Below are 27,897 nucleotides of genomic sequence, written 5' to 3'. Positions count from 1 at the left end.
GAGTTCATGTCCTCTGCAGCAACATGGATGGAGCTGAAGGCCATTGTCCTAAGTGAATTAAAATAGAAACAGAAAACCAAATCCTGTATGTTCTCATTTATAAGTGAGAGCTAAATATTGAGTACACATGGACAAAAAGAGAAGAGCAATAGATACTGGGGCCTACTTGAGAGTGGGGGGTGGGAGTAGAGTGAGGATTGCAAAACTACCTATTGAGTACTATGCTTATTACCTATGTGAAAAAATATTCTGTACACCAAATCCCCGTGACACCCAATTTACCCACGTAATAAACTGCACATGTACTCCCTGAACCTAAAACAAAAAAAAGTTGGAAAGAAAATTAAAGCTACGTTGTTATCAGCTTAAAACATACTGTTATAACTATAAGATGCTTTACGTGAGTCTTATGGTAACCACAAAGCAAAAAGCTTTGTAGATACACAAAAGATAAAAAGTAAAAATTCAAAGCATAACACTAGGGAAAAATAAGTAATTGCAAAGAATGTAAGAGAAGAAGGAAAAAAATGTACAAAATAACCAGAAAACAACAAAACCACAGTACTAAGTTCTTACTTTTCTACAATTAGTGAAAGTAAATGGATTAAGTTCTCCAATCCAAAAACATTGAGTGGCTGAATGGATAAAAAATATATTAGCCAATTAAATGCTGCCTACAAGTGACTGACTTGACCTTTAAGTACACAAATACACTGAAAGTGGAGGGATAGAAATAGATATTCCAAATAAATGAAAACTAAATATAGAAAGGGTAGCTATACTATATATAACATAAATGTTCCTATAAATGTAATGCACCACATTATCATAATGAAGAATAAAAGCCATATGATAATCTGAATAGATACAGAAAAGGCATTTGACAAAATTAAACATCATTTCATGCTAAAAACTTTCAATGAATTAGATAGAAGGGATGTACCTCCACAAAAGAAAAGCTATATATGACAAGTCCATAGTTAACATCATAATCAATGGTAAAAAGTTGAAAGTCTTTCCTCTAAGACCAAGTACAAGACAAGGATACCCACTCTTTCCACTTGCATTCAACATAGTACAGATGTTCCTCAACTTACAATGGGATTACATTTGAATAAACCCATTGTAAGTTGAAAATATTGTGAGTTCAAAATGTGTTTAATAGATCTAACCTGTCAAACATCATAGTTTAGCCTAGTTTACCTTAAGTATGCTCAGAACACTTACATTAGATTACATTACATTTGGAAAGAAAACATCTAAAATAAAGCCTATTTTATAATAAAGTGCTGACTATCACACATAATTAACTGAACAGTCCTCAAAGTGAAAAATAGAATGGTTGTATGAGTACTTGAAGTGTGTTTGTGCTGATTGTGCATTGCTTTGACACTACTTTAAATTGAAATTTTGTAAGTTAACCATCACAAGTCAGAGACTCTCTGTACTGAAAGCCCTTGCCAGAGCAGTTGGTCAAAAAAGAAAAAAAAGAAAGAAAAAAAGGAAATAAAAGGCATTCAAGTTAGAAAGAAAGAAGTTAAACCATCTCTGTTTGTAGACAATATAATCTTATATATAGAAAACCCTGAAGACTCCATCGAAAAATGTCGGAATAAATAAGTAAAGTGGAAGGTGTGAGCCCCCAAAATCTGAGACAGGTCTCAGTTAATTTAGAAAGTTTATTTGCCAAATTTGAGCACATGCATCCGTGACACAGCCTCAGGAGCTCCTGATGACATGTGCCCGAGGTGGTCAGAACACAGTTTGGTTTTATACATTCTAGGGAGACATGAGACATCAATCAACATATGCATGATGAGGCGGGACAACTTGAAGCAAAGGTGATACTTGAAGCCAGGAGGGGGCTTTCCATGTCATAGGTAGATAACAGACAAATGGCTGCATTCTTCTGAGTTTCTGATTATCCTCTCTAAAGGAGGCAATCAGATATCCATTTATCTCAGTGAGCAGAGGGGTGACTTTGGATAGAATGGGAGACAGGTTGGCCCTAATCACTTCCCAGCCTGAATTTTCCCTATAGCTTAGTGATTTGGAGGCCCCAAGATTAATTTTCCTTTCACAAAGGATACAAAATCAATACACAAAAATCAGTAGTGCTTCTATACACTAACAATGAACTAGCCACACAATCAAGAGAATAATTCCATTCACAATAGCTACAAAAATCCAAAATACTTAAGAATACATTTAACCAAGGAGGTGAAAAAACTATACATTAAAAACTATAAAATTCTGATTAAAGATATTGAAGAATATACAACTAAACAGAAAGATGCCTGTGGTTCATGGACTGGAAGAATTAAATTGTTAAAATGCCTATAGTATCTCAAAATAATATACAGATTCAATACAATTTCTATCAAAATTCCAATGAATTTTGTCACAGAAAAAGAGAGAGAAAAAGTTTTAATAATCGTGAAGAGCTATAAAATACCTCAAATAGCCAAAGCAATCTTAAACAAATAGGGAAAAGCTGAATGCATCATACTATCTGATTTCAAAATCTGCTACAAGGCTATAATAATCAAAACAGTATGGTATTGGACTAACAACAGACATAGTCCAGTGGATCAGAAAACAGTGAACCAGAAATAAATCCACAAATTTATGGTCAATTGCTTTCCCAAAAAAGAACAAAAATATACAATAGAAAAAGGACAATCTCTTCAGTGAATGATGCTGGGAAAACTGAATATTCATATGTAGAATGAAATTAGACACTCATCTCACACCATATACAAAAATCAACTCAAAATGGATAAAACATTTAAACTTAAGATCTGAAACTGTAAAACTGCTACATAAAAAAGGAGAAAGCTCTATGACATTGGTCTTGGCAATTATTTTTTGGATATGATCCCAAAGTACAGGCCAGAAAAGAAAAGCTAGTCAAATGGAATTATACTAAGCTAAAAAGCTTCTGAACAGCCAAGGAAACAATAAACAGAATGAAGAAATAACTTGCATAATGGGAGAATATATATTCAAATCATATACCTGATAAAGGGCTAATATTAAAAATATATAAGAAAGTCAAACAATTCAATAGTAAAAAAATAAACAGCCTGATTAAAAATGGGCAAAGGACCTGAACAGACATTTCTCAAAAGAAGACATACAAACAGCCAATAGGTATATGAAACAATGCATTAACATTACCAACCATCAGGGAAATGTAAATTAAAACCACAATGAGGTATGACCTCATACCTGTTAGGATGACTATCATCAAGAAGATTAGAGATAACTGTTGGTGAGGGTATGGAGAAAAGGGAACCCTTCTAAACTGTTGGGTGGAATGTGGATTGGTGAGTCATTACAGAAAACAGAGATGCCTCTAAAAAATTCAAAAAAATGTTGCTAGCCTATGATCCAGTAATTCTACTACTGAGTATATATCTAAAGAAAATAAAAATCATTATGTCAAAGAAATATCTGTACTACTACATTCATTGCAGCATTATTCACAACAACCAACATAGGGAATCAACTTATGTGTCCATCAACAGATGAACAGGTGAAGAAAATGTACTATATATATATACAATGAACTATTATTCAGCCTTAAAAAAGAAAAGAAAATCCTGTCATTTGGGATAACATGGATGAACCCAAGGACATTATGTTAAGTTAAATTATCCAGGCACAAAAAGACAAATACCACATGACCTCACTTATATATAGATACTAAAAAAGTTGAACTCATAGTAGCAGAGACTAAAATGTTGGTTACCAGAGACCGAGGAATAAGGGTACTGGAGAGATGTCAACGGACACAAAATTTCTGTTAGATACAAGGAATAAGTTCAAGACACCTGTTGTGCATTATGGTAAAGTTAATGACAATAAGTATATACCTGAAAATTGTTTTAAGAAGTATATTTTAAGTGTTCTTATCACAAAAATGTAAGTATGTATATATAAAATAAATATTCCCTTGATTTGAAATGACTTTTATCGTCAGTCTCCAATTACCAGCATCCTGATCAGCCTTCAGTACCTATCACAGATGCCATGTATTCATTGAGCCTTTCTTGATCCCTACAATTTTATAGATTTTTAAATATTCTGCCTTATATTCTGGTTAGTTATATATTTGTTTTATTGCCTGTTTAGACTCATACTGAGGGGAGCACGTATGTTCTTGTCACTATAATTTCTATAGTCTAGAGCTATGTCTTTCTTTCCCATAATAGATCCTCAATACACATTCATTGTTTTGAATTGAACAGGAATTGAAGTACTTTAAAAAGTTACAACTATATTTCCTTTCTATATATATATACCCAGTAATGAGATTGTTGGAACATATGGTAGAAATATTTTAATATTTTGAGGAATCTCCCTACTGTTTTCCATAATGTACTAATTTGAAATTTGGAAGCACTAATTTGGATATATGAATTTGGATGTACTAATTTCATTTCTACAAACAGTGTATAAGAGTTCCCTTTACTCTGCATCCTTGCCAATAATTATTTTTTGGCTTTTTGATAATAGCCATTCTAACTGAGATGCAGTGATATCTCATTGTGGGTTTCTTCATTTTTTTTTCCTTTGCTGTTCAGAAGCTTTTCCATTTGACATGATTCCATGTGTCTATTTTGGTTTTCATTGCCTGTATTTTGAGGTCTTATTTAAAAATTCTTGATCAGCCCAATTTCATGAAGGATTTCCTGTTTTTTTTTTTCTGGTAGTTTCATAATTTCAGGTTTTACATTTAAGTCAAAGAGACATCTACACACCCATGTTTACTACGGCAGTATTCACAAATAGCCAAGATATGGAATCAATTTAAATGCATATCTAATAATGAATGAATAAAGAAAATGTGTGTCTGTGTGTGGAATACTATTCAGTCATAAAACAGAATAAAATACTGTCATTTGCAATAACATTTATGGCAACATGGATGAAGTGATGGCTGATACTCTTCCACTAGTTTTAGAGTAATTTTTACATACTAGCAGTCAAGCTGGACTTATCCACACCAGCACTGGAAAATATCCAATGTAGGTGTAACGTGCTCATCTAGAAAGCATCAAGGTGTTTTGCCTGAACATTCTCCAGGCAGCTGAATGAGCCTCGATACTGAAGCAGGATGGCTGTGTATATCTGATACAATGCTAACAGTTTCTGTTTCCATCTAGGTCTTTTAGTTGGATAAAAGCTGGACAGGAAAATTCTACAATCCCATGATTACTTATCATTATCTAATCACATTTTATATAATGGGGAGCTTTCAGAGAATGAGATAATTTTCTGGTAAAAAAATCACCAGATAGTAAGCCATATCCATTTCTCCTTCTTCCTCATCAACAGACTCCAGTTTTGTTCCAGGTGGCAATGGATCAGTTAAATATTTACATTATTGAGTGTCTTTTTATCTAATGTTGGTTAAAGAGATCTAAGTATAAGTAGCTGAGTTAGGCATTTGGGAGAGCTCATTAATGACTGGCAAAATATGTTCATATGCACGTTTCACATTCCCCTTTATCAACGTTCCTGTTTGAAAATATAGATGCAGTGCTTGGAAGTAGAATAGCTTCTTTGTAAGCTTGAGAATGAGGGACACCCATGGATTAATAGAAAGAGTCGTATTCCCGATGGCAATGTGCAGCCCAGTATACTCACAAAGGATGGTTGTTCCTTTCCTGCACTATGCCAGAGTTCCCTTCTTCCATTTCTGTCCTTTAAAATTGAAACCTTGAGACTTCATCTAGGCAGGGAAGGAAATCTTCAGGTCCCTTACTCTTTAAAAGGTGTTTCATTCTGCTATCTCTGATACAGAAAAGACAGAGAGATCTAAAGGGACAAAAGGAAAGTCACATTCCTTGGATAAAAAAAAATGTAACAAAGGGGACTGTATATTTGAGGTTCAACTTGTAGTTTGGATGTTTATATTTAATGCTGTAAAATATAAAAATGTAACAGTTCATTAAATCAATTTGATAATGAGCACTAGCCAAGGACATACAGAGATGTAGTCTGACATGTTCAGAAGCTCCTCTGGAAGGGGTAAAAGCACAAAGCAACATTTTTTCTTACTACTACAAAGGCAATAAGTGAAAGAAAATATTTAGAATATTACAGAGCAGAAAATTAAGTCAAGGAGCACAGCCATATAACATAAATGTTAAACTAAATGTTCACTGAATATAATATACCATTTGGTCAGTTTCCTATGTGCCAGATTTTATAGGACAGAAGTAATAACAACTAAAATGAGTTGTCTCTAAAAGAATGCATTCAACATGGTACTTTAAAGGAAAAGGTCAGTTGTCACCATGATAATTCAGTAGGAAACTTACCCTGACTTTTAATAAATTATCCTTTTTTATTTAGTAGAAAGTAAAGAAGGCAGTCAATTTTAGTCCTGAATTCTAAGGGGATGAAGTTAACTCTCTATGAGCCATTTACTAACTAGCTTGAAACTTCTGAAGCATAGGAGAAAGCACCAAAGCAGCTAACAAATAAGCAGGGGCTTAGCTAGGAGCCCAATGCAGTAGAGCATCTGACCATGCTTGCAACAATGCTCAAATGCTCAAGAACAGAGTCAAAAAATCACATGCAAGTTATATACATACTTACATACATAAAATCAATGAGCTCATGATTACAACAGAAGCACATACTGGTTTAAAAGTATGTTTCTTCCAAAGGTTGTGTTATATTCTCTCTCTCTCCCCATAACCTAGGTGTTGGGCCTATACTGAGGGAGTATAAAGCTCTGGTTAGAGCAGAGTACAGTTAATTAGGGGAAATTTCCTAGAGATGAATTGTAAGGCAGGGTACAAAGGGAGTGAGGGGTATAGATTGGTGAATCATCTTTTGATCCAAGTGCCCAGAAAAGAAAGATGAAAAGACTCAGTAAGTATTAATCCATTTTGCTTTATACAGATAATGGCCATTATCTGCCTAAAATGTTGAATCCATGAGACTAGTTCTAAAGGGTTTATGTCTAATATGTGTGATAACTTTGATGAAAAGTTCTAAAACTGTTAGTATTTTGGATCTTGACATTTTACCCTTTTTTCGTATTGGAAACAGTTCAACAAGTATGAACGTTGTGTACATAAGTATTTGTGAAAGATATATATATATAACAATTTTAAAAAATTGTCATTATATGACTTATTTAAAAATAATTATTTTCTCATTAATCTATTTTACTTTTCACAAGTCTGTTTCTTGAAGCTGAATTTATGTAACAAGGTAATAGCAAAATGAGTAAACTGAAGAAAAGGCCTACAAAGAGGAGTTTGTACAAGAATCGTAAAAAGAAAAGGATGATTTGTATTTGTCTGACACAAACATCTACTGAAACTCCCAATAAGGACATATATGGCAGAGGCCCTTGTTGGTTGAGATCTTTGAGAAACTAGAATATTACTTTGTAAGTAACACTCTTTTGGGGAATTCCTTCTTTGTAAAGGAATGCTATCAAATTAACGTATATTAATTGCTTTATTAAATCCCAGTTCAGTCATTTACTAGCTATATGATCTGGGAAAGTTATTTAACCTTTCTAAACTTCATTTTCCTCATCTAAAACTTGGAAATAATAACAATAACTCCTCTATTGGGATGCTGGGAGAATAAGATTATAAATTTAAACCACAGCATAGGAGTATACACGTTCAAGTAAGTGTTATCTACTGTCTGTTATTATCGTTACTGTCATATTTTTACCCAAAGTGAAACAATAGTCTCAACTCTTAAGCTACTTTGTATCTAGAGAAAAATTACTAGTATTATTCAAGTACTACACTGTGGTGAATTATTGAAGGCATTTCAAGCTGATTGTGAATTGCTCATCTAGAGATGTGTAAAGAACCTTACCTACGTTCCCTATCAAGAAAATCCTTCATAGACAGTAGTAATCTAGAAGATAATTCCTTTTTGCATAGAAGGATGGTACTAAGGAATCTAAATATGAATTGATTATTTTAAAGATTTTCTAATATCACAAGGCCCTGAAGAAGGTGTAAGTGTGTGTTAAACAGAGTCTTATGAGACATGAACAACTGAAAAAAGGTCCAATCAACCAATTCCCTATCTCCAACACCCTAATGTAACACAGTATTTACGAAACTAGCTTGATTTCTTTATTTAAACATATTCTCTGGTTATCTGAATAATGTCAGATGGATAAACTTGTTCAAGTCTATTCTAGAGGAAAGTTGATGTGATTTTCTGATCCCTAAGTAATGTGCTCTTTTAGTGTCTAACCCAATATCATCATAGATTAAATCCCAAGTGCCTTAAAAATTTATCTTCACACATTTCTTTGGTGAAACATCCTGTGATTTGACTCACATTTATCACTTTCTTGGTCATTGGATTGAGCAGACTGGTGGATATGGTGATAAAATAGATGCCACATTAATATAAATTCTTGATCTTTTCACAAAGAGCATTCATAATAGATAGAGCTTGCATTCCTCTGTTCTCAGAAATCTCTTTAGTTAGTGTTCAAAAACTGTACCTTGCAGCTGCACTACTTTCTCAGTACCACTGTCTTAAATTATGGGGCTGTCAACCCCACTTATAGGAAACTTTCCCTATTTTATACTACAATATTACAATCTAAAGCTGGAAATCTTTTTCAAGCACATATGAAAAGTAAATAGATCGTTTGTTAGTCTGGACTTCCATCATCACAGCAGTTCTTAACAAAACAATACTGATCAGACAATCTGTTTATTAATACAGTGTTTATTATGTGAAAGAACAAGGTTCAGGAACTGGAATAAAAGCAGCTAAATTCTCTAAGGACTAACTCAGCTGGCGGTACTTAGAAATTTAAAACTTTACGTGTCTGTCTGCATTGCTCTAGTCCCTTCCTCCCTTCTGTCCTATCACAAATATTTATTGGGTACTTTCATGTGTCTAACTCAAGGGTAGGTGCTGGGGATACAGGGATGAATAGGACATGATCTCCACCTATAAGAGTCCCTGGTATATATCTAAGGAGATAAAGAAGTAAATAAATAATGGCAATGCAGAGAGCATGCTGTATAAAAGAACTCTAAAGGGAATAGTCATAGGGTGGGAGAAGATGCTGAAGGGCAGGAAATGAGCTGAACCATGAATGATGATCCTGCAGACTCAATTCCTTCTAGAGAGTATGGCAGCATTCTTCAGGAGAGGTGACTTGAAAATTGTTGTCGGTATAGGAAAAAATGTCTGTTTGGCTGCTACCAAGGAGTATCTGCTCTGCTTAGTGATGATGCATTGAGACAAGGAGGAGGCAGAGAACTTAAAGGAAGAGCAGGGAGAGGTGTCGTTAATCTCTGAAACAACTCAGAATAATCCTTACAATTTAGCCTTCTGTAGGACAATGGAACCAGATTTCCCTGATGTGGGCAGTCAAGGGCCAAATCAATTTTATGTGTTAACAAAATCTCAAAGAGTGTGTTGGAATCCATGAGGACTATAATCACTTACATTTATACTTACATCTCTGAAAGAAGATACGTATAGACATGAGGAAGCATAAAAGCAGTATTCTTGGGAGAGAATGCAATATTTCACTGTGTTAGGCTAGTAATTAAGACAGGGCTTGAGAAAAGAAATCAAAGCTGGTGAAACATATGGTATATATTGAAAAGTAGAGATCTGTATGTCCATTATTGATGGAAAACAAATGTTTAAATATCCAGTGAGGGTAAAATCAACAGAAAATATTCTTCCTAGGACTCTAAAGATTTTCTATAACAGCATCAAACTCTGCCCAACCAGGCAAAATACAGGAGCCAGATTTGTTGGAGAAGCATCAGTGACTGCCCAGCCAGGCAAAAGCCACAGGCTAAAATCATTTCCTAGGTAGTGCTTAAACTTTGAAAAATTTACCAAAGTGAGCAGGTATACTTTTTAGGAGCAGTGGATACAAAACCCATGATTAGGGACAACAAGATTGGCTCACAAGAGAGCAGAACCTTTCCAATAATTTTGTTTAGAAATTGAAAGCAAATTTTATCAGCCTCAGATTATTACATTACAAAAGACAACTGAACAGAGCTGACTCAAAGAAATTAAAAGGCATCATATTTATCCCTTTTTATTCCTATTTTTACTATGTATCATCACTAATTCGATACAATCAGTTTATCAGAACATGACATGAAAGACTTAGTGAACTGCACAACAAATGAAAAGAAGAAAAAAAGCTGTATGTATTCCGTATTCTTATAGACACTTGTATTACGTTTCTTTCTTTTTTTTAAAAAAAAATACAATCAATCACCATTTACCACACCTGCCTTTCTTAATCAAGTTTGTTGCGATATAATTTAGGTACAGTGTAAGTCACCCTTGTCAGGTCTTTATGTACTAATTTTGATAAATTACTTTTTAGAACAAAGAAATATCATAATATTAAAAATTTCTGCATAAAGAAAAAGTAATCATACAAGTATATGATATTATTTAATATTTCAAACACTTTGTCACATTCTACATAATTTTTGTTAAAAAATATATAAACCATTCAATAAGTCTGCTTCTAACTACAATTCATAAAATACTTCACATTTAACTATAATTCTGGTGCCTGAAGATAATCTAGAGAAATTTTTTTCCACTTAATAAACAGTAAACATATTTTCTCTTAGTTATGATTTTCTTTTTTAAAAATAATTTCAACTTTTGTTTTAGATTCAGGGGGTACATGAGCAGGTTTGTTATATGGGAGAAATTTTTTTAAGGAAGGTTCATATGTAATATAAAAAGCTTAGGAGAAGGAACTAGACTTAAAACTATGAGATAGTTTTCCCAATTTAACTATTTTTATAATCTTCCTATTAAGAAACAGCTGGGGCAATTTATCTGTCACAGAAAAAGCCAAATGGTCCCAGAAAAAGCTTTCTTGCATTAGTGGCTGGCAAGAGTTCTTACCTGATGACAAATGTTTTTAAAAAAGGAGTATAGAACAAGAAAGGGACTTTGGCTTATTGATGCTTTTATAAATTCTCTTCAAATAACACTTCCTTAGTGGCTAAGTCAAGCACAGTGCTAAGACAGAAATTACATAACAATCAACAAAGAGGACGGCTTTGTATACTTTAGGCCTTACCATTCATGGTAGCGTTACATATGTAAATAATTATAGAACAATATGAGATGTCTATAAGACGGTTATGTCCAAAGTGTTACCGTAGTAGTGTTGCTACTGAATGAGTTATAGTTGACAGGAAGTCAACACTCAGCAAATCTCTGTTTAGAAAATCAAACTAGCAAAATCTTCAAAGTACAACTAAATACATTCTGGGAAATTCACATTAGCTTAAATGCACGGAAAATAATGCAAATGGGAGAATAACTTAGGATGCATATGTTAATACACACGTTAAAAAAAATGGTTCTTGTAGCCTTTTAAGATAGCTGTCAAGTGGCACCTGGCACTCACCTTCTCTACAAAGCAGGAGCAAAAACAGTCAGTAGATAATCAAACATCAAATAGAGTGTCTAAGAGAGAACATTGGGATGCAGCAGGGCAATCACAGAGAACCTCTAAAGCATGGAAAGAGAAAGAAGCAAAGAAGACAGCCTGGCCAGGATTGGCTTGGAGCCAGGAGGCACTCTCCATTGTGGGAAAAATATCTTTTTCCACAGACATCCCCACTGCAGGCTCCTGCAATCCCAGCTGTGGGAGAGTTCCTAAGCCCTTGTGGGCCCTGAGACTAGCATGTAAAGTTTCCTGGAATCTACACAATTCCATTGTTACGGGTCCCACACACGCCCCAAGATCCAAGCAGATGCAGCATGGAGCCATTTGGAGAGTCCAGCCCCCACCAAACTATATACTGTTTGGGGCCCAACAGCCTCTCTATCTCCACATCATTGAATTCCTACTGACATCATCCTACATTTATCCAGAGAGCTGCAGTGACATAAGGCCAGCTGGACTGAGTGGAGGGGCTAGTTCTCAAGCATTCTCACCCATGCAGTGTCCTATAGCCTAGGAAATGGGCTGCCTCCAGGACAGAGAGAGTAATAGAATGCACTCACTACAGCCTGAGAGCCACCTGCTTGAGACTGATGCCACTGACAGTAACCCTGCCCCCTCCAGCAGTAGGGCCAGAGAACACCTGCATGCACCCTAAGGGGGTTCTGGGATAAGCCTGTACCACCAACTGTTACCACTTCCAAGGTCTGAGCATGCCATCTGGAGATCCAGGGGTAAGCCTGCCTTACCCAAGTCAGCCCATGCCCATGTGTACCAGTGGGGGATAGGATCACCCTGCCTACAGCCTCTTGCAGTGACACCTATGCATAATGTCTAGGAGCCTAGAGATCAACAGATCAACCTGACCTTACCACCACTGGCAGCACTCAACAGGGAAGCCTGAGGAAAGGTTGCCTTTACCACCACTGCTGCTGGCAATGACATGCAAGCACCATCATGGGGAGTAGGGGGTGGCTTGCACAGACTACCACCACCACCACACCCACTATGTACACCACTCAAAGGCCTGAGGACATGCCTGTCCACCAAGCCCACCACTGCTACTGACAACACACAAGCAATATGCCTGGAAGTCCAAGAACTGGCTCACCCAGGCATATTACCACTGGTGTCAGTGGACACTGCCTGGGGGCCAGAGAACTGGCAAACCTGTGCCCAAGGACCTGCCCTCTTGATGCTCCTGTCCCCAGCAAAGTCTCACCACAGCATCCACTAACAACTGCAGCCCAAGCAAATGAGGAAGACACAGACAAACTTGACATTGATTACAGCTGCCTCAAATCATACAAAATTTAACCTACTGTGCATACCCACATTCAAAGCAAAATAATCTTATTGAATCAACATTATAGATACAACAATAAAAAAGTCTTTCCCTATGAAAATCAATCCATAAAACTTGAAAAAGCAACTGTTGTACCATATGCACAAATTTCAATGTAAAGAACATGAAAATATGAAAAAGCAAGGAAACATGACAATTTCAAAGGAACACAATAATTCTTCGTTAAATGATCCCAACAAAAAGGAAATTCATGACATGACTGAAAAAAAATTCAAAATAATAATATTGAAGAAACAGTGAGATACAAGAGAGCAAAGGTTAAACAACACAAAAAAGTCAGGAAAACAATACATGATCTAAAAGAGAAATTCAGACGAGAAAGATATCATCAGAACAGAAATCAAACTGAAATACTGGAACTAGAGATTTCAATAAATAAAATCAAATCACAAAAGACATCTTCAACAATAGACTTCATAAGCAAAATAATCGTTGAACTTGAAAATAACCTGTCTGACAAAAAAAGGAGAAAGAAAAAGAATGAAGAAAGCATATATGATATATGAGACACCAGAAAGTGAAGAAATACATGAATTTTCGGTGCTGTAGAAGGTGAAAAGGTGGGCAAAATAATAGAAAACATATTTAACAAATTAATAGCAGAAAACTTCCCAAGTCTTGCAAGAGACACAGACATCCAAATACAAGGAGCTCAAAGAATCCCAAAAAGATCCAACTCAGAAAGCTCATTTCCAATGCATGTTAGAGTAAAACTGTCAAAAGTAAAAGACAAATAATTCTAAAAACAGCAAGAAAGAAGTATCTGTATTAGCTCATTTTCACATGCTATAAAGAAAGGCTTGAGCTTGGATAATTTTTAAAGGAAAGAAGTTTAATTGACTCACCGTTCTGCAGGCCTGAGGAGGCCTCAGAAAACTTACAATCATGGTGGAAGGGGAAGTGAACATGTCTTTATTCACACGGCAGCAGGAAGAAGATGTGCCAGGCAAAGGAGGAAAAGCCCCTTATAAAGCCATCAGATCTTGTGAGAACTCATTCACTATCACAAGAACAACATGAGGGTAACTGCCACCATGATTCAATTACCTCCCACTGGGTCCCTCCCACAACATGTGGGAATTGTGGGAACTATAATTCAGGATTAGATTTGGGTGGGGACATAGCCAAACCATATCATTCCACCCCAGCCCCTCATAATCTCATGTCCTCACATTTCAAAACAAAATCATGCCCTTCCAATAGTCCCCCAAAGTCTTAACTCATTCTAGCATTAACCCTAAAGTCCAAGTCCAAAGTCTCATCTGAGACAAGGCAAGTCACTTCTCTCTATGAGCCTGTAAAATCAAAAGTAAGTTAGTAACTCCCTGTAAGCAATGGGGGTACAGGCTTTGGGTAAATATGCCTGTTCCAAATGGAAGAAATTGGCCAAAACAAAGGTGCTACAGGCCCCATGCAAATCCGAAATCCAATACATCAGTCATTAAAGTTTCAAAATGATCTCTTTTGCCTCCATGTCTCATATTCAGGTCACACTGATGCTAGAGGTGGGCTCCCATGGCCTTGGGCAGCTCTGCCCCTGTGGCTTTGCAGGGTATAGCTCCCCTCCCAGCTGCTTTCATGGGCTGGTGTTGAGTGTCTGCAGCTTTTCCAGGCACACAGTGCAAGCTGTCTGTGGAGCTATGATTCTGGGGTCTGGACGATGGTGGCCCTCTTCTGACAGTTCCACTAGGTAGTGCCCCAGTGGAGACTGTATATGGGGACTGCAACCCCACATTTCCCTTCCACATTGTGCTAGCATAGGTTCTTCATGAGGGCTCTGCCCCTGCAGCAAACTTCTTCCTGGACATCCAAGCATTTCCATACATGCTCTGAAATGTAGGCAGAGGTTCCCAAACTTCAATTCTTGACTTCTGTGTACCCATAGGCCCAACCCCACGTGTAAGCCTCCAAGTCTTGGGGCTTACACCCTCTGAAGCAATGGCCTGAGCTGTACCTTGGCCCCTTTTAGCCGCAGCTAGAGCTAAAGCAGCAGAGACACAGGGCACTATGTTCCAAGGCTGCATAAAGCAGGGAGGGCCCTGGCCCTGGCCCACAAAACCATTTTTCTCTTCTAGGACTCCAGGCCTGTGATGGGAGTGGCTGCCATGATGGTCTTGACATGCTCTGGAGACATGTTCCCCATTGTCTTGGCAATTAGCATCTGGCTCCTTGCTACTTATGCAAACTTCTGTAGCCAGCTTGAATTTCTCCCTAGAAAGTGTTTTTTACTTTTTCCACTGCATTGTCAGGCTGCAAATTTTCTAAACTTTTATACTCTGTCACCTCTTGAATGATTTGCTGCTTAGAAATATCTTTCACCAGATACCCTAAATCATCTCTCTCAAATTCAAAGTTCCACAGATCTCTAGGACAGGGGAAAAATGCTGCCAGTCTCTTTGCTAAAGTATAGCAAGATTCACCTTTGCTCCAGCTCCCAAGAAGTTCCTCATCTCCATATGAGACCACTTCAGCCTGGACTTCATGTCTATATCATTATCAGCATTTTGGTCAAAGCCACTCAACAAGTCTCTAGGAAATTCCAAACTTTCCCACATCTTCCTGTCTTCTCAGCCCTCCAAACTTCCAACCTCTGCCTATTACCCAGTTCCAAAGTTGCTTCCACATTTTCAGGTGGGGACAACAGCAGATACCACAGACAGTGGGGTGATTTACAACAGCATCCCACTCTCTGTGGTATCGATTTATGTTTTAATGCTGCTATGAAGAAATACCTGAGACTGAGTAATTTATAAAGGAGAAGTTTAATTGACTCACAGTTCTACAGGGCTGAGGAGGCCTCAGGAAACTTACAATCATGGAGGAAGGGGAAGCACATATGTACTTCTTTACATGACAGCTGGAAGTAGAGGTGCTGAGCAAAGGGGGAAAAGCCCCTTATAACGCCATCAGATCTCATGAGAATTCACTGACTATCACGAGAACAGCATAAGGGTAACTGCCCCCATGATTCAATTATTTCCCACTGGGTCCCTCCCACAACACATTGGGATTGTGGGAACTACAATTCAAGATGAGATTTGGGTGGGAACACAGCCAGGCCATATTAGTATCAAATCTCATATAAGGATATTCCCAGTAGACTAAGAATGGATTTATCAGCAGAAACCTTAAAGGCCAGAAGAGAATGGGATAATATATTCAAAGCATTGAAAAAAAAGTCTGTCAGCCAAGAATATTATGCCCATTAGTTATCCTTCCAAAGTGAAGGAGAAATAGTCTTTCCCATACAAATACTGAGGGAATTCATCACCAGTAGACTAGCTCTTCAAGAAACACTTAAGGCAGTCCTGCTTCTGGAAGCAAAAGGCCAATATACATCACCATGGAAACAGGAAGATATTAAACTCAGGGTAGAGCAAATGCAAAAATAAGAAAAACAAAGGAGTCAAATGTTGCCATTAAGAAAGTCAGGAAACCATAATGACAAACAGTAAGAGAGAAAAAAAAAAAAGAAAAAGGATATACAAAAAAATTAGAAAACAATTAACAAAGTGACAGGAGTAAGTCCTCACCTATCAATAATATTCTAAATGTCAACAGAATAAATTATCCACTTAGGAGATATAGCCTGGCTGAATTGATTTTAAAAAATGACCAAACTATAGGCTGCATACAAAAAGTTCACTTCCCTTTCAAAGATGCATACAAAGTGAAGGAATGAAAATGATATTCCATGCAAATGGAAACCAAAGCAAACAGAAGTAGTTATACATGTATCAGACAAAATAAACTTTAAATCAAAAAGTATAAAAGGAGATGAGGACAGTAATTATATAATGATAAAGGAATGAATTCAGGAAGATAATATAATAATTCTAAGTAAACATGCACCCAACACTGAAGCATCCAGATATATAAAGCAATACCAATAGATCTAAAGAGAGAGACAGACTCCAATGCAATAACAGTTGGCAATTCCAACATCCCCTTCCTAGCATTAGGTCATTTAGAGAGACAATCAACTAAGAAAAACAATCTGAGCAATACACCAAATGAACCTAATAGATATTTGCAGAATATTTTATCCAACAGCTGCAGATACACATTATACTAACCAACACATAGAACATTCTCTAGGATGGACTATACATTAGGGCACAAAACAAGTCTCAACAAAATTTTAAACATCAATATTATATTTAATACTTTTCAGACCACAATGTAATAAAACTAGAAATAAATATTAAGAGGCCGGGTGCGGTGGCTGTCGCCTGTAATCCCAGCACTTTGGGAGGCTGAGGGGGGTGGATCATCTGAGGTCAGGAGTTCGAGACCAGCCTGGCCAACATGGTGAAACCCCGTCCCTACTAAAAGTACAAAAATTAGCCGGGTGTGGTGGGCGATGCCTGTAATCCCAACTACTCAGGAGGCTAAGGCAGGAGAATCACTTCAACCCGGGAGGTGGAGGTTGCAGTGAGCCAAGATCAGGCCACTGCACTCCACTCCAACCTGGGCGACAAAAGTGAGACTCCATCTCAAAAAAGAATAAAAAAGAAAAGAAATAAATACTAAGAGGATATTTGGAAATTGTAAAAAAAAAAATAAACAAAATGACTATGAATGACCACTGGGTCAATGAAAAAATTAAGAAGGAAAAAAAAAACCTCTTGAAACAAAATAAAATGGAAACACAACATACTATGAGATACTAATAAGATTCTGCAAAGGCAGCGCTCAGAGGGAAGCTTACAGCAATAAATGTTTACCTCAAAAAGTAGAAAAATTTCAAATAAACAACATAACAATAAACCCCAAGGAATAAAAAAGAAAGAACAAACCAAATCCAAAATTAGTTGACAAAAAGAAGTAATAAGGAATAGAGCAGAACTAAATGAAATGGAGACTAAAAAAATACAAAGGATAAATTAATCAAAAACTTAGATTTGTGAGAAGATAAACAAAACAGATAAACCATTAGCTGGGCAACCAAAAAAGAAAAAAAGAGAGAAGACCCAAATAAATAAAATCAATATGAAAATGGAGACATTAAAACCAGTATCACAGAAATACAAAGCCCCATTAAATATTAATATAAACAATTATACTCTAACAGGGCCAGGTGCAGTGGCTCATGTCTGTAATCCCAGCACTTTGGGAGGCCGAAGTAGGCAGATCACTTGAGGTTGGGAGTTCAAGACCAGCCTGGCCAACATACTGAAACCCCATCTCTACTAAAAATACAAAACAATTAGCCAGCCACGGTTGTGGGTGCCTGTAATTCCAGCTACTTGGGAGGCTGAGGCAGGAGAATTGCTTGAACCTGAAAGGCAGAGGTTGCAGTAAGCTGAGCTTGCACCACTGCACTCCAGCTTGGGCAACAGAGTGAGACTCCATCTCATAAAAAAAAAAACAAAACTGGAAAATCTAAAAGAAATGGGTCAATTCTTGGACACGTACAACCTACCAAGATTGACTTGAGAAGACACAGAAAACATGAGCAAAGCAATAATGAATAACAAGATTGAATCAGGAAAGCCTCTCAACAAAGAAAAGTGCAGGACTGATGGCATTACTGATGAATTCTGTCAAACTTATTAAGAAGAACTAACATGAATTCTTCTCAACTATTCCAAAAAAGTTGAGGAGGAGGGAATTCTTCCTAACTCATTGTATTATGCCAGTATTACTCTCATAGAAAATAACAGATAAGGGAACAATTAAAAAAAGAAAACTACAGGCCAATATCCCTGATGAACATAAATGCAAAATTTTTCAACAAAATACTAGCAAACCAAATCTAACAGCACATCAAAGTGATAATACACCATAATCAGGTGGGATTTATCCTAGAGATGTAAGAATAATGCAACATACACAAATCAATAAACAAGATACATTATATCAACAGAATGAGGAAAAAAATTATAATCTTAGATTCAGAAAAAGCATTTGGTAAAATTTAACATCCTCTCCTGATAAAAATTCTCAAGAAAGTAGGCACAGAAGGAACATACCTCAATATAATAAAGGCCATATATAAAAACCCACAGCTAACAACATACTGGACTGGGAGAAGCTGAAAACCTTTCCTCTAATAACTGGAACAAGACAAAGATGCCCACTTTAACTGTACCTATTCAACATAGTACTGGAAGTTCTAGACAGAGCAATCAGACAAGGAAGAAATAAAATGTATCCAAATTGGAAGAGAGAAAGTTAAATTATCCCTCTTTGCAGATGATGTGATCTTACATTTAAAAAAAACCTAACAACTCCACCAAGAAACTCTTAGACATGATAAACAAATTCAGTATAGTTGCAGGATACAAATCAATGTACAAAAGTCACTATCTTGGCCAGATGCAATAGCTCATACCTATAATCTCAGCACTTTGGGAGGCTGACGTGAGTGGATTGCTTGAGCCGAGCAGTTTGAGACCAGCCTGGGCAACATGGCAAAACCTCATCTCTACAAAAAACACAAAAATAAAAATTAGCTGGGCATGGTGGTGCATACCTGTAGTCCCAACTACCTGGGAGGCCAAAGTGAGAGAACTGCTTGAGCCTGGAAGGTTGAGGCTGCAGTGAGCTATGACTGCACCACTGCACTCTAGCCTGGGTGACAGAGTTAGCCCCTGTCTCAAAATTAAAAAAAAAAAAAAGAGTCACTAGCATTTCTATACAGTAAAAACAAACTATTTGAGAAAGAAATCAAGAATGCAATCCTATTTAAATACCCACACAAAAAACACCTAGGTATAAATCTAACCATAGAGGTGACAAAAACTCTGTAAGGAAAATTACAAACTTCTGATGAAAGCAATTGAAGAGGATACAAACATATGGAAAAACATTCCATGCTCAGGGATTGGAAGAGTGAATCTTGTTAAAATGACCATACTACTCAAAGTAATATAAAGACACAATGCAACAACTATAAAAATACCAAAGACACTCTCCAAAGAAATAGAAAAAAAATCCTAATATTTGTATACAACCACAAATGAACCCAAATAATCAATTCAATCCTTAGCAAAAAGTACAAAGCTGGAAGCATCACACTACCTGGCTTCAAAATATACTACATGGCTATAGTAACCAAACCAGAATGGTATTGGTATAAAAACGGGCCCATCCACCAAAGTAAAAGAATAGAGAATCTAGAAACAAATGCATGTATTTACAGCCAACTGATCTTCAACAAAGGTATCAGAAACACACATTGGGGAAAAGACACTCTCTTCAATAAATGGTGCTGAGACAACTGGATATCCAAAGGAAAAAATAATGAACCAAACCCCTATCTCTCATGATATATAAAAATCAACTCAAAACAGATTGAAGATTTACATGTAAGAGCCCAAATTACAGAACTACTAGAAGAAAACAGGGGAAATGCTTCAGGATGTTGGTGTAGACAAGGATTTTATTGCTATAAATTCAAAATCACAAGCAACAAAAACAATAATAGACACATATTACTATTACATTAAACTAAAAAGCTTCTGCACAACAAAGGAAAAATCAACAGAGTGAAGGAACAATTTGTTAAATGAGGGAAAATATTTGCTAACTGTTCATCTGACAAGGAACTAATATCCAGAATATACACAGAATTCCATGAAGTCAACACCAAAAACAAATAATCTCATTAAAAAGTGGGAAAGGAATCTGAATAATTTCTTTAGAGAAGACATACAAGTGGGCAATAGGTATAAGGAAAAATATGCAACATCATTAGTCATAAGGGAAGTGAATATAAAAACAAAATGAGATATCATCTTACTATTACAATGGCTATTATCCAAAAGACAAAAAATAACAACCGTTGGTGAGGATGCAGAGGAAAATAACTGCTGGAGGGAATGTAAATCTGGATAGTCATTATGGAAAACAGTATGGAGGTTTTTAAAAAAAACCCTGAAAGTACAACTACCATGAAATCCTGCAATACCATTACCAAGTATTTATCCGAGAAAGGAAATCAGTATATCAAATGTACACATGCACCCCCACTGTTCACTGTAGCACTATTCACCTTAGCCAACATATGGAAAAAAAACAAACTGTCCACCAATAAATGAATAGACAAAGACAAAGTTATATATATATATATATATATATATATCTTACATAATAGCATTTCATTGCATATATATGTATATAAACATACATAACACACAATAGTATTGTGCCATAAAAAAGAATAAAATCCTGTCATTTGCAGCAAAGTGTCATCTGCAGATGGAACTGAAGGTCATTGTGCCATGTGAAGTAAGCCAGGCAGAGAAGACCAACATTGCAGATTGTCACTTATATGTGCGAGCTAAAAAAGTTGCTCTCATGAGGGTAGAGATTAGAATGGTATTTAGCAGAGGCTCACGGGGGGAGGCGGGGTGGGGTTGGAGATGAAGAGAGGTTCATTAATGTTTACATGCAGTTAGAAAACATAAGTTCTTGTGTTCAATAGCACTGTAGGGTGACTATAATTAACAATAATTTATTATATATTTCAAAATGGCTAGAAGATGAGAAATGTTCCCCACACAAAGAAATGATAAATGTTTGAGATGAGGCATATCCTAAATACCTTGATTTGATCATTACAGATCATATGCAAAATATCACACATACTCCATAAATATGTACAATTATGTATACATTAAAAAAGACACTACTAAAAAAGCTCTTCTCATCTTTTTTTCAGATACATATGGTAAAACTAATACCATGTATTCTGAGAAACTGCCTACATTTGTGAGATGGATCAATTAATTTACTTAACCGATACTTGTACGAACCTGGACATATGCGTTATAAGCAATTATTTTCTGGAAAAAAAATGTCCATAGTAAGTTCACTATCATTAGCTAACATCAAAGATATATCTAAAATAAAAATTGAGCACATTTTAAAAGTACTTGTATTTTTTCTTAATTTTAGTCTGAGATTTTAATAAATTTTACATTTTTGGGGAACTAAATTAGAAGAGTGTTACATTCTTTCTTCAAATTAACGTCCCAATATATTGTCTGGATTTGATATAAAAATGACATTAAGAACTTTACATAAGATAATATATTTAATACTACAACGAAAATGTCAAGCATCTGGTAATTTGCAGGCCCTGAGACAGTGAAAAGGCTTCCACAAAACCCTTCCTGGTAGACTACACAAAGTAGTCTGCGCAGGAAAGTCACTGATACCTCTCAACTCACATCAGAGCTAATTCATATCCTCTCAACGCACATCAGAGCTAATTCTGATGGTAAGAAGGTCAGAGGACAAAATGCTAAGAAGGGACATTCCTAAAAGTGAAAATTGAGAGCAAAGGGTAAGATAGAAAAAAACCATGCAACTCCAACATTAAACTTTCTGGGCCTTTCAGAGTGGGAAAGAAACTCAATATGCTTGCATTGCCTCCAAGAATATAACTATGACACAATTCAAAAACAGATGATTATTCTGAAAAATGTGGAAATGATGGAGATTGAGTATAATCATGTGCTTGATGATTCAATCAATCATGGCTATTTAAAACACCAATAATTCTGTGAAACACCAGGTTTGGTGTAGTTATCCGGTTAGTGAACACACTGATACACTGGGGGGGTGATGCACTCTGATTCCATGGGAAGATGGGTTCAGGACTCTTCCAGACCTCACTTTATGTGTTTCTTATTTGGCAGATATTGATTTATGCATGTGCTTTCCTGAGTTCTGTAGGTCACTCCAGCAAATTATTGACTTAAAGGAAATTGCAGGAACTCTCTCATATTTGAATCCATTTGTTTTGAAATGTAGGTGGCTTGGAAATCTAGGAACTTACAGTTGGCATCTGAAGTGAGCGCAATCTCACCAGTAACTGCGCCTGTAATCTGCAGTGCCTGCACTAATTCCAGGTGGTTACCATCATAATTGAATTGAATTGGAATACACTAATGTGTCTTGAAATTGAATTAAATTATAGGAATGTATGCAAATGACCTAAGGAAGTCACAAAAAATATAAAATAAATTTCACAAGACTTTCCCCTTATATTTCACACTTTCATTATGTCATATAATACTGTTCAATTAGCTACCCCTTGATGTCTAAGACACTTTCACTTTTTCCAGCTCAAAATCAGTCAGTTAATACAGAAGATGGCATAGGCCATCCAAAAAAATAGATGCTCATAAGCATCAAAGGTGTGAGGAAGGGAGAGAGATAACCAACAGATGAGGAGCACATTCAAATAGATCTACCCCTGTGTTTTCCATTAAAACCCAGATGCAAGAGCAGCAGCATATAGCTAACCATGTGGAAAATGCAACTAGCTATGTGTTTGTATGCATGGTTTCTACAAATTTGACCTAGGCAGTTATTCAAAACATAGAATGAGTCAGAAGTCATTAGAAACACTTAAATGTTCTTTTGCGATACATCTGTATAATAAAATGAAATTTTGAAAATGGTATACTTTGTCCAGAATGTTTTGGGTTTTTTTGCTAAACATTAGACCCAGGAGGCTCTTCCTGAAAAAAGGGTTCTGTAGTTGAAGAAGATTAAAGTGATGGAATAGTATAATTCTCTTGTTGGATACCCATAATTTAAATAGGAAGTTTTAGATGCTTTCAGCAAATTAGTCTGTTTACCACAACATTTTGAACATAGAAGGCTTTTTTGTTTATTCACAGAGAATCAGTGCCCTGCAGAACACAATGTTGAGACTAAAGTGATTTAAAAAAGGCCAACATAGGCTTTAAAAAAAAAAAAAGACAGTAAGTAGTTACAGAAAAAAATCTAGATACTTTCAGATGTCAAAAAAAAGATGAGGTCATGTTTACTGACATCAATAAAGATATGTACTCCAAAAAAAATACACTAATCATTATTGCAGGCTGATTTTTAATTTTAATTTAAAACCATATAAAATATATCTGATTTTCTATATGTAGAACCTAATTTTTTTTTTTTAGATCCAGAGCTAAAAGACTACTTCACTGAGGTGAATAACTCAGAAAGGAAAATTTCTATCCATTTTCCTGAAATTGTTTTGTTGAAGAGAAATCCATTAGTAAGCTTTCAAGAATTTTTCTGTTTCAAAGAGTCATTTACATTCCTCCACAGGCAGTCTGTTTTTGAAGTGTGCAGCAGGAGGATGGGTGGTGTCTTCTTTCATAACTAGTGTCACTTAAGAGGTCAAGAACGCTTGGGTACGTTCTTCCCAGATTCTTTCAGAGTAAGCAAAAAAGTGACTTTCTGTTCTTTCTGCTCATACTTTTATGTTTAACTTAAGACTTTGGGAAAGATGAAATGTTTTCCTTATTAATTTTCTCCCAAAATTTATCATTAAAAATAACATATTCTTTATACAAAATGACATAAATACAAAGTGGTATCAGTGATTTAAAAAATACCCACAATACACGGTGAAACCCCGTCTCTACTAAAAATACAAAAAAATTAGCCAGGCGTGGTGGTGGGCGCCTGTAGTCCCAGCTACGCAGGAGGCTGAGGCAGGAGAATGGCGTGAGCCCGGGAGGCGGAGCTTGCAGTAAGCCAAGATCGTGCCACTGCACTCCAGCCTGGGCGACACAGTGAGACTCTGTCTCAAAAAAAAAAAAAACAAACAAAAAAAACCCCACAATAATACATTCAAGAGAGACAAATACAGTTCTTGCCATCATAAGGCTTCTACTCTGGCAATGTGGACAGACACTAAATGAGTAACTGTGTAAATAATCATTAAGTTATGTGGTGGAAAAATGCAGAATTCTCTGATAGAACTCCACTTATTATCACAGTTATTTCTGTCTGCATGTAATACTGCTTCTCAGTGACTTTTCTGTTTTTCATCAATAATAAAAGCTATCTCATTCTAAAGCACAGGTGCCCAAACAGAATAGCATTTTTTGAGATAGTTTATTTAAGTATATGTAACAGTCTCTCTATTCTCTCTTGTTTTGGGTTTGCTTCATACATGTGGAGGATCAGATATGGATTCTGAGGATGGAATGTGAAGCCCCAAATACTCTGGGAAGTGCGTTTTTGAAAGCAGATCCTGTAAGGCCCCTGGTCTTGTGTACATTGACAGGTTATTCCTAACATGGCATGTTCTCCTTGTACAGATACCATCTCAGACAACTTCTAAAGCTACAGAAGTATATACCGCAGATGGCCACAAAGGTCACTGCTCTCAGGGACACTTTTATCTCTTCAACTCCAATAGGCTTGGAGTAGCATGGAGAAAGGGATTTTTCAACTTTAATATTGAGAAAAGTATGCTGTTTGCCATACCATAGTTATGAAATCAAAATGTAAATATGTGTGACCTAAGAGTTCTAAATTCAGTATTTTGCATAGTCTCACAGAGCATTTAAAAACTAGATTTGAAGGGGAGAATAAGCCACTTATAATTAATCTCTAATTTGGTTTAACTCCATCCATGTGGTTTAGCATTTTAAGTGTGGTTGATGTGCATGGTGTTTATTCTATATATAATACAAGAGAATTCTAAAACATACTTTTCATGTCATCATTTTATAATTCTCGATGCTTGACTCAGTTTTAGAAATGAAGAAACAGGCGGTTAATACTCAAACTTTCACAATGTTCACAGCATATAAACAGAAAACACTGTCATATTTTAATATATTTAATTACTTAATATGAGAAAATAATATTTACATGATTTTTATTTTAAATTCAAAGGAAAATAACTATACATATACATTTTAGTTAATTTGTTTTCTCAGGTTACTCATGTTTAGGCAGATATAATAATACTGTTTTCATGCTGAAGGAATAAATATCTGGTCTCCTTAATGATTCTATTTCTCAGCAACATTGAAAAAAATTGGATTCTGATTGCCTTTAAAAGGTTAGTAGTTTAGGTCACTGAGTATGCAAACCTCATGAAATTTCAAATGCTTTCCACCTTCGGTAACTGTCTATACGTTGCCATACTATATGCATTTTCATGTAGAAGCCTGGATTACAGATTAAATTTTAAAATGCTCAGTCCTAGACCCAGACCTCTGTTATTTTAAGTTAAACCATGAGATTTTTTGACTTGACAGTTTTGACCCACAAAAATATCAATTTCACATGATTTAATGTAATAAAAATATATTTCCATAGCAATAAATAAAATTCACTTGAGCGGTTTGTGTTATCTGTTAATTAAAAAAATAAAGAAAACAAAAGGAAACAGAATACAACAGCAAACCTCTGAACAAATATCTACAGGTCATTTGAAATGAAAACATTCATTATAAAATAAATTGGTTATTTATGATTTAGGATGTTAACATTCTTTAAGCCCAGATTGTTAATGGCCAACTATTCATGTCATGAAATTAACTTTTAAATGATCACTATCTAAAGTTTGCACAATGTCTCCATAATTTCTCTATTATTATGTTCATTTTTTCTGAAGACGTAAAAACTCGTTTGTTATTAATTGTGAATTTTACCTAAAAAACTATTTAAAATCATTTATAGTAGGCATCAGGAAAAGTCCTATGATTTATTTAACACTTCATGTTTGGAATATCAATAATCAGTGGTATTTAATTTACTAATTCATTTGTATTTGCCATCTAAAAGTAGTGAGGCCTTAATATCAAGAGGTTTTTTTATGTATTTACTTATTACTTATTTTATCTGATCCAAATAGAAAAATGTATGTAGAAACCCAAGGAAATCAGCTTTTCCACAGTAACACAATGCCACCTCTGATGACTACTTAGTACCTGAATCAAACCAATCTTTCAAAACTTGTTACTGCAAGTGAATTGTTTGGCACATTATATTACTAATTGGCTGAATTATATTTTAATTATTAAAGACTGAGAATCATTAAATACTTCCTGCCCATCTATTTTCATCAGGTTCAACTCATTATGACTTGGTCATCTGTATTCCCTTGTGAAAAGTACCAATGCAGTTTTCAGAATAGTCATACCATGGATTATCTTTTACAAGCAATCTTTTTTTTTGTTCTCACTTAAATTGTTTTTTATTTTCTTATTGTGTCTCAATAAGAATAAAACTTTTTGAAGGGAGGGAGAATCATTCTCACATCTTCTAGCGCCTTTTCTTGGGCTGCTTATCCAATAAGTTTTCAAAAAAAAAAAAAAAAAAGGCTGACTGCTTGGTTTCTGGAGCACACCATTTTCCCCCCTCCAAAACAAAACTATTAGGGAGAGAGACACAATTTCAAAGTATTCATTTTGTAAAGGGCCAGAGCTGACATTTCTGAATATCACAATTTAAGATTGTTATTCAAGTTTGTACCATGAGCCATCTACATAGATACGTATGTGAGTCAAAAAGGTTGGAAAATCTAAGTGTCAGAAAATCTGTTGTCAGCAACCATCAGCTAGATGATGCTTGAGGGAAATGGCTTAATTTTCCTTCTTTCTGAAAACTGGCATTTCAACTGTCAAAAGATTGTTTTCTGAATATTTGGCCATAAAAAGCTGAGCAATGACATATGTTTCAACACAACTTTGAAGGGTTATAAGAGATTTAGAAAAAATATAAACAATCATATGTAAACACACTTATATATAAAATATATATATATTTTCACACATACCCACACACACACACACATCCTGTTGGTAGCTAGTGACACTTTCAATAGTAAGAATGAATTGTGATTACATTCATTTGCTTCAGCTAAAAATGAGTTTTTTATATCTTTGTGAAATAAATAATTAAATTCAAAGTGGGTATTTCTACGATTTCTATCAGTATGAATTTTAAACTCCATTTTTTCTTAAATGTTGCACATTATACTTCTAGCCTTAAATTGGTAGCTGCCTCACAAGAGGCAAGTATCTATTCTGCAAGAGATTAATAGAAGACTTGTATTAATGGGCATGAACCTAACATTTAAAATTTCACTCTGCATTTTTCTTTCTCAACCTTTTTTTCCCTCCTTTTCCTTCATATCTTCCACATCTTTTCTATTTGTCTTTCTAATTTGAGAGGTACTGCCTGAGACATTTTGTCATTGGAGTTACTATGGTACTTTGCCTCATATTTTTGTAAGTCATTATGATTAATATTTTTAATGGGTTTAATTAATAAACAGATTGATTTGGCA

General features: G+C 35.6%; 1 protein-coding gene across 4 annotated transcripts in view, besides 2 other annotated features; it reads right to left on the bottom strand.

The window, feature by feature from the left end:
- Window positions 1-27,897, bottom strand: part of MEI4 (meiotic double-stranded break formation protein 4) — a 276,772-nt gene that overhangs the window by 22,403 nt on the left and 226,472 nt on the right. The gene's annotated exons all lie outside the window — the stretch shown is intronic.
- Window positions 12,048-12,217: an enhancer, noted in NCBI's record as "experimental_95486 CRE fragment used in MPRA reporter constructs". NCBI's record gives its function as "activates a minimal promoter by MPRAs in K562 erythroleukemia cells, with activity observed for the introgressed 6:78602228 or rs13219006 variant allele {active_cell/tissue: K562}" and the evidence as "EXISTENCE:reporter gene assay evidence [ECO:0000049][PMID:34662402]".
- Window position 12,132: a transcriptional cis regulatory region, noted in NCBI's record as "Neanderthal adaptively introgressed variant 6:78602228 (GRCh37/hg19 assembly coordinates) or rs13219006 in the experimental_95486 CRE". NCBI's record gives its function as "modulates activity of the experimental_95486 enhancer by MPRAs in K562 erythroleukemia cells {active_cell/tissue: K562}" and the evidence as "EXISTENCE:reporter gene assay evidence [ECO:0000049][PMID:34662402]".

The sequence above is a fragment of the Homo sapiens genome, chromosome 6 (assembly GCF_000001405.40).
Source record: "Homo sapiens chromosome 6, GRCh38.p14 Primary Assembly".
NCBI lineage: Eukaryota > Metazoa > Chordata > Mammalia > Primates > Hominidae > Homo > Homo sapiens.
The sequence above is the reverse complement of the archived record's forward strand: the minus strand, read 5'-3'. Positions and strand labels throughout refer to the sequence as shown.